The following is an 8388-nucleotide window of genomic DNA, read 5'->3' on the forward strand; positions in this document are numbered from 1 at the left end:
GAATGAAGGACAAAAACCATATGATCATCTTATTACATACAGAAAAAGCATCTGACAAAATTCAAATCCTTTCATGATAAAAACTCTCAAAAGATTAGGTTTAGGAGGAATGTACCTCAATACAATAAAGGCCATATATGACAAGCCCACAGCTAACATTATACTCAATGGAGAAAAGTTGGAAGCTTTTTCTCAAAGATCAAGAACAAGACAAGGATGCCCACGCTCACCACTTCTATTTCATATATACTGGAAATCTTTGCCAGAGCAATTAGGCAAGAGAAAGAAATAAAAGGCATCCAAATAGGAAAGGAAACTGAAATTGTGTCTACTTGTTGACATGATCTTATATATAGAAATCCCTAAAAACTGTTAGAACTAAGAAGCAAATATAGTAAAGTTGAAGGATACAAAATCAACACACCAAAATCAACACACCAAAATCAGTAGTGCTTCTATACACCAATAACACATTATCCAAAAAAGAAATAAAGAAAATAATACCATTTACAATAACTTCAAAAGAAATAAACTACTCAGGAATAAATTTAACCAAAGAGGTGAAAGATCCGTATACTTAAAACTACAAAACTTTGATGAAATAAATTGAAGAAAATACGATAAATGAAAAGATATTAATGTTCATGAATCGAAAGAATTAATATTGCTAAAATGCCCATACCACCCAAAGCAATCTATAGGTTCAGTGCAATACCTATCAAAATTCCAATGTCATTTTTCGTAGAAATAGAAAAAACAGTCCTAAAATTCATGTGGAACTACAAAACCCCCAAATAGCCAAGGCAATATTCAGCAGAAAGAACAAAGCTGGAGGCCTCATACTACCTGATTTCAAACTATATTACAGGTTGGGCACGGTGGCTCAGGCTTGTAATCCCAGCACTGTGGGAGGCTGAGGGGGGCAGATTGCTTGGGCCCAGGAGTTTGAGACCAGCTTGTACCCAGGAGTTCAAGACCAACATTGCAAAACCCTATCTCTACAAAAAAGTAAAAAATTAGCTGGGCATAGTAATCTCAGCTACTTGGGAGGCTGAGGCAAGAGGATTGCTTGAGCCCAGGTGGTAGAGGTTGCAGTGAGCCATGATTGTGCCACTGCACTCCAGCCTGGGTAACAGAACAAGACCCTGTCTAAAAAAATATATATGTGTGTGTGTGTGTGTGTGTGTGTGTGTGTGTGTGTGTGTGTATAACAGAACTACAGTAATTAAAACAACATGGGACTGGCATTAAAACAGACACATTGACAAAATGAAACAGCATAGAGAGCTTAAAAACAAACCCACACATTTAAAATTGATTTTTCTTTTTCTGCTGCCCAGGCTGGAGAGCAGTGGCAATCACAGCTCACTGCAGCCTCAACTTCCTGGGCTCAAGCAATCCTCCCACCTCAGCCTTCCAAGTAGCTGGAACCATAGGTGCACGCCATCACACTCAGCTAATTCTTTAAATTTTTTGTAGCGATGGGGTCTTGTCATGTTGCCCAGGCTGGTCTCAAACTCCTGGGCTTAAGCAATGCTTCTGCCTTGGCCTCCCAAAATGCTGGGATTATAGGTGTCAGACACCACACCTGGCCTACAGTCAGTTAATTTTTTGACAAAGGATGAAAATGACATTGAGAAAAGGACAGTCCCTTCAACAAAACGGTATTGAGAAAACTGGATATCTATGTGCAGAAGAATGAAAGTGGACCGTTACCTAACACCACATTAAAAAATCAACTCCAAATGGATTAAAGACTTAAAGACAAGACCTGAAATTGTAAAACTACTAGAAGAACACTACATAGGGGAAAAACTACATGATATTGACCTGGACAACAATTTTTCCAATGTGACACGAAAAGCTCAGGGAACAAAAACAAACATATACAAATGGGATGGGATTATATCAAACTAAAAAGCTTCTGCACAGCAAAAGAAACAATTAACAGAGTGAAGAGGCAACCTATGGATTGGGAGAAAATATCTGTAAGCTACACATCTGATAAGGGATTAATATCCAAAATATATAAGGATCTCAACTCAATAGCAAGAACACAACCCAATTAAAAAGTAGGCAAAGGGCCTGAATAGACATTTCTCAAAAAAAGACATACAAATGGACAACAGATATATGAAAAAAAAAAAGCTCAACATCATGAATCGTTATGGAAATGCACATTAAAACCACAATGGGATATCACCTCACACCTGTCAAAATGACTGTTATCAAAAAGATGAAAGATAAGGGCCAGGCATGGTAGCCCAAACCTGTAATCCCAGCAGTTTGGGAGGCTGAGGTGGAAAGATTGCTTGAGGTCAGGAGTTCCAGACCAGCCTGGGCAACACAGCAAGACCCTGTATCTACAAAAAAAAATTTTTTTTGTTTTAATTAGTTGGGTGTGGTGGTGTGCACCTGTGGTTGTAGCTTCTCAGGAGGCTGAGGTGTGAGGATTCCTTAAGCCCAGGAGGTCAAGGCTGCAGTGAACTATGTTCATGCTACTGCACTCCAGCCTGGGTGACAGAGCAACACCCTATCTCAACAAACCAAAAATATGAAAGATAATGTGTTGGCAAGGATGTGGAGAAAAGGGAAACCTTGTACACTGTTGTTTGGAATATAAATTAGTACAGCAATTATGGAAAACTGTGGAGTTTCCCCAACAAAGTGAAAATAGAACTACCATATGATCCAGCAATCTTACTTCTGGGTATACATCCAAAGGATTTGAAGTCAGTATGTGATATACACTATGGTGTGTGAAAATGTGGTATATATATATGATACAATACTATTTAACCTTAAAAAGGAGGGAAATTCTGTCATTGGCAACAACATTGGTGAACCTGGAGGATATTATGCTAAGTGAAAAAAGCCTGGCACAGAAAAACAAATACCACATCTTCTCACTTAAATGTGGAATCTAAAACAATTGAACACATGTAAGCATAGAGCAAAATGCTGGTTACCAGAGGCTGAGGGGTGAGGAGGCAATGGGGAGATGTTGGCCAAAGGTGCAATGTTTCAGTTAGACCGGAGGAGTAAGTATTTGAGGTGATGGATATGTTAATTACCTCAATTCAATCATTCCATATTATATATCATAGCATCACTTTGTACACCGTAAGTATAGGCACTTATAATTTGTCAATATTCAATAGTATAAATAAAAATTTGAAAAAACTTTCTGACCATCACAATATCCAAGAGAAATAAAAATATATGTCCTACCAGAAACTTGTAGATAAATATTCATAGCAGCATTATTCATAATAACTAAAAAGTGAAAACAACCCACTCTCCATCCCCTGATGAATGGATAAACAAAATGTGTTTTATCCAAACACTGGAATATTATTCAGCCATAAAAGACATAAACTATTGATACTTACTCTAACATAATGAAGCTTGAAAACATGATAATATTTTAAAGAAGGCAGACATAAAAGGCCACATATTGTATGATTCTATTTATATGAAACATCCAGAATAAGGAAATCCATAAAGACAGAAAGTATATTAGTGATTGCCAAGGATTTGGGGGAGGAATAAATGGGGAGTAGACTGCTCCTGGGTATGGGCTTTTTTGGGGGGTGATGAAAATATTCTGGAATTAGACAGTGGTGATGGTTGCATAAGTGTGTGAGTACATTAGAAAGCACTGAATTGAACCCGTTAAAAGGGAAAACTTTATAGTATGTGAATTACTTCTCAACAAAGCAGTTATTTTAAAAATAAAATTTTCTGCAATATCTCCAAAATTTATATAACAAAAGAAGCAAGGTGAAGATAGTATGTATAGTACCATGTGTGTAAAACTAGATAGACAGATATAGATAGATCGTCTATAGATAAATATAGATAGGTTATATATATAGAGAGAGAGAGGGCAACCAGCTTTTCATTCTGTACCCTTTTATGTTTTTCATTGTTTGTACTATGTGCAGGTATTGTATCTATTATATATATATTTTTTTCTAGGATCATATAGCTAATGGTTTATCATTATAACTTTTCACATTCATCCTTTCTTTCCTTTTAGGAAACAACAATTAGTGACATCCTTGAATCCGAAGTAGTGAATGAAATATTGCCTTTATCAAACTCCAGGTTAGTAAAGTCAAGACAAATAAAGTCAAGTCTATCTGAGATGGACTGTCAGCCATGCCTGAGAGTCATGGCTGCCTAACTAGTCCTGGATTGCTGGCTTGAGAAGGCATAGCTTTCTGGGGTCATTTTCTCTACATGAATTATTTGAATCTTCTTCCAATTCCTCCCCTTGCCACTCCTTCAACTCTAAACCCCACAGAATCCTGACTTAAGGTAGGAAATAAAATATGAACATAGGTTTAAGGTAAATTTTATTTGGCTTTGTGTAACAGTTGCAAAAAATTGAAATTCTATCAATGCCTGTATCCCTGTAACCCCGAACTGCTACCAACAAACTCTATGTACATGATGTCCTCACATATGGCATTTCTTAGTTTTTCAGGAAAAGGTTTGGTAGAGTCATTTGCAAGTCTTCAAGAGACTGAAGAGATCAAGTCAAAAGAAGCAATGGCAAGTTCAAAGTCCCCTGAAAAGTCTCCTGAGAATCTTGTGTGTTCACAGAATTCTGAGGCTGGATACATAAATGTGGCTTCTCTGAAGGAGACACATGGTATACAAGAACAAGACCAAAAGTCAGAACTATAAAATCACTGGTGCCTAAAGCTATACTGAACAAAAGTGGTAATTTAAAGCCTGGACAAAAGGTGGACCATGACATTGAGAAGAGTTACCACAGATCCCAAATGGATATCACCCAAGAGTCTTCAAAACTGCTGATAAATTCATTAAAGCAGTTGTAAAAATGGATTTCTCAAGTTTGTTTGATATCCTCAGATGCCTTGTATTGACCAAAATATTGACTTTAGTTCAATGATTTATTTAGGTTTCTCTTCAGCAGAGCACATGTAGGGTTAATTCAACATTCTTTCCCATTATCATGGGTATCTTTTCTGATTTATTTTTTAACAGTAAAAACAATACAGTCACATTAAAGCAAATTTTGTTTTTAAAAAAACCCTCCTATGCTGGGCGTGGTGGCTCACGCCTATAATCCCAGCACTTTGGGAGGCTGAGGTGGGTGGATCACGAGGTCAGGAGATCGAGACCATCCTGGCTAACACGGTGAAACCCTGTCTCTACTAAAAATACAAAAAAATTAACCGAGTGTGGTGGCGGGTGCCTGTAGTCCCAGCTACTCAGAAGGCTGAGGCAGGAGAATGGCGTGAACCTGCGATAGCACCACTGCACTCCAGCCTGGGTGACAGAGTGAGACTCCGTCTCAAAAAAAGCAAAAAACAAAAACAAAAACCCTCCTATAATACCATAAGCTTTTTTTTTTTTTTTTGAGACGGAGTCTCTTACTCTGTCACCCAGGCTGAAGTGCAGTGGCATGATCTCCGCTCACTGCAACCTCTGCCTCCCAGGTTCAACCAATTCTCCTGCCTCAGCCTCCCAAGTAGCTGGGATTATAGGTGCCCGCCACCATGCCCAGCTAATTTTTGTATTTTTAGTAGAGACAAGGTTTCACCATGTTGGCCATGCTGGTCTTGAACTCCTGACCTCAGGTGATCCACCCACCTCAGCCTCCCAAAGTGCTGGGATTACACCAATACCACAGTCTTAACACAACTAATTTTATTTTACAGTTATTCCCTTTTGGTCCTAATTCAAGTACATATATTCTAAGTGGTTATTATAATATTGTATATTCATTTTCACAGTTTGATTTTTAATTTACTGTATATACCATGGAAACATTTTCAATCGCCATATGATATTCAATCATGTTGATGTTCTATAATTATTTTTATGGGAAAAGTTTTAAATGTTTAATGAAGAAGATTTAGAGCAATACATTATTTAAAAGTGGATAGGAGGTTGGGCGTGGTGGCTTACACCTGTGATCCCAGCACTTTGGGAGGCCGAGGTGGGCAGATCACCTGAGGTCAGGAGTTCGAGACCAGCTTGGCCAACTTAGGGAAACCCCGTCTCTAACAAAAATACAAAAACAATTAGCCAGGTGTGGTAGTGCGCGCGCCTGTAGTCCCAGCTACTGGGGAGGCTGAGGCAGGAGAATCACTTGAACCCGAGAGGCAGAGGTTGCAGTGAGCCGAGACTGCACCAGTGCACTCCAGCCTGGGTGACAGAGCAAGACTCCATCTCGAAAAAATAAATAAAATAAAATAAAATAAAAGTGGATAGGAAAATACCAAGAGCTTTTCCTGGGGGAGGGGGTATGAGAAGAGAGTTCACATAAACCCCATTACACAGAAACTACCCCTAAATATTTCCAAACAGGAGTACAAAGTAGGTGAACAGTCTCCAGCTCATCTTTAGTGTAGTGGGACTGCTTCTTCAGAAAAGATCAGCAACATTCACATCCATTTCATCTATCAGGGTGGAACAGTACTGCTCAGTATCTCTGAGGATGTGGATGTTCTATAAATTAAACGTTCTCTTGTTTGGCATTTAAGCTGTTTTTACTTTTTTTTTTTTTTTTTTTTTTTTGAGACAGGGTCTCACTTTGTAACCCAGGCTGGAGTGCAGTGGTTTGATTACTGCTCATGCAGCCTCAACCTCCCATGCTTAAGTGATCCTCTCTCCTCAGCCTCTCCCAAGTACAGGCATGTGCTACCATGCCTGGCTCATTTTTGTACTTTTTGTAAAGACGAGGTCTCACTCTCACTCTATTGTTCAAGCTGGTCTCAAATTTCTGGGCTCAAGTGATCCTCCCACCTAAGCCTCCTAGGTGATAGGATTATAGGATGAGCCTCTATGCCAGGCCTGGTTTTACTTTGTTACTATTTAAGATTATGCTGTGTTGAAGGTCTTTGTGCATGTAGTTCTTTTCTTCTTTTGAATTACTCCAGAAAACAAATTCGCAAGATTGGACTGAGTCAAAGGATATAAATGTTAATATTGCTCTAGGACATCACTTCCTTTGCTTTAAAAAAGGGTTCTGCCTGACCAGGTGCGGTGGCTCACGCCTATAATCCCAGCATTTTGGGAGGCCGAGGCAGGTGGATCACTTGAGGCCAGGAGTTCAAGACCAGCCAGGCCAACATGGCAAAGCCCTGTCTCTACTAAAAATACAAAAATTAGCCGGGTATGGTGGTGCACACCTGTAGTCCCTGCTATGCGGGAGGCTGAGGCTCGAGAATCACCTGAACCCAAGAGGTAGAAGTTTCAGTGAGCTGAGACCACTCCACTGTACTCCAGCCTGGGCAAAAAGTGAGACTCTGTCTCAAAAAATAATAATAATAAATACATAAATAATAAAATAAATAAAAAGTGTGTCAACATACTGTTTTCATAGTCAAGTTACTCAACCTCCTTGAGCCTCAATTTCTTGATTCCTAAAATGGGAACAATAATAGTTCTCTATCCCATAGGGTTGTGAGGACCAAATGAAATGAAGCATGTAAAGTATTTAGCACGTAGTAACTGCTTAATAAATGCTATCATCATTTATTTTCACTAGAGGTTTATCAATGTACTATTTTTTTCACAACCTCATCAACATTGGATATTATCAATTTTAAAGATTTATTCTAAAACAGTTGGTATAAAATTATACTGAAGCGTGACTGCTGCTGTTCCTTTTCCCCCTCCTCCCCTTTCTTCTTTTTCAGTTGGAGGAGACCAAGAGGAGAGGATCAGTAACCAGAAATAAAAATGACCCTTTACATTGAGACACACTGTATTTTTATATGTAATCCTTGCTTTCTCAGACAACAGAGCTAGAAAGATGATCATAGGAACTAGGAAATAATAACTATTTTATTAAATGCATGCTGTTATATTGAATGAGCCTTGCCCAAGGTCCCCTTCTTTCACTAAATTCATTGCATCTATTATTTATTGAATACCTACTATATGCTATTCAGTAGGCGACATTGCAGCTACAGCTGCGAATAGGACCAGGAGAGTCTCTACTTTCATGGAGTTTATATGCTATCAGGGAGGAAGATTATGTGTGTGTGGCAGGAAATGAGGTGTAGACACATACCATACGAAGATAATGTGGAAGTGGGGGTGGCATGAAGAAAACAAACCAGTGATCTGAATGACCAAGGGCTACTTTAGATTAGGTCTAATGTTGCCTCTCAGGAGGTAACATCTGGGGTGAGCCCTGAACTACAAGGAGCATTACTTCCCACACGCATACCCCAACCAACCCCCACAATCCCCCGCCAACCCACATTAAGTTCTGGAAGGAATATTTCAGACAGAAGTAACAGCTATTACAAAGCCCTAAAGAGAGGAGGGATCTCAGTGACCTGGAGGAACAGACAGGTCAGAGCACAGTAACTAAGGGCAAGTGGTACAAGATGAGGT

At 39.1% G+C, this 8388-nt stretch overlaps 1 protein-coding gene and 1 long non-coding RNA gene across 11 annotated transcripts in view; one reads left to right on the forward strand and one right to left on the reverse strand.

The window, feature by feature from the left end:
• The window catches only part of CCDC30 (coiled-coil domain containing 30), a 201084-nt gene extending 193227 nt beyond the window's left edge, over positions 1 to 7857 (forward strand). For 9 of the 10 annotated variants that reach the window (NM_001355226.2, NM_001395384.1, NM_001395517.1 and 6 more), the window contains 2 exons: positions 4043 to 4110; positions 4485 to 7857. In NM_001355226.2, the coding sequence (NP_001342155.1) occupies positions 4043 to 4110; positions 4485 to 4695 (279 nt within the window). In that variant the 3' untranslated portion in view covers positions 4696 to 7857. Of the gene's footprint in view, positions 1 to 4042 lie in introns of all 10 variants that reach the window. The other variant, NM_001355227.2, reaches the window with a different exon arrangement.
• Positions 1 to 8388, reverse strand: part of LOC124904162 (uncharacterized) — a 104986-nt gene that overhangs the window by 78513 nt on the left and 18085 nt on the right. The window lies entirely within an intron of this gene.

Source organism: Homo sapiens, chromosome 1 (genome assembly GCF_000001405.40).
Source record: "Homo sapiens chromosome 1, GRCh38.p14 Primary Assembly".
Classification (NCBI taxonomy): Eukaryota; Metazoa; Chordata; class Mammalia; order Primates; family Hominidae; genus Homo; species Homo sapiens.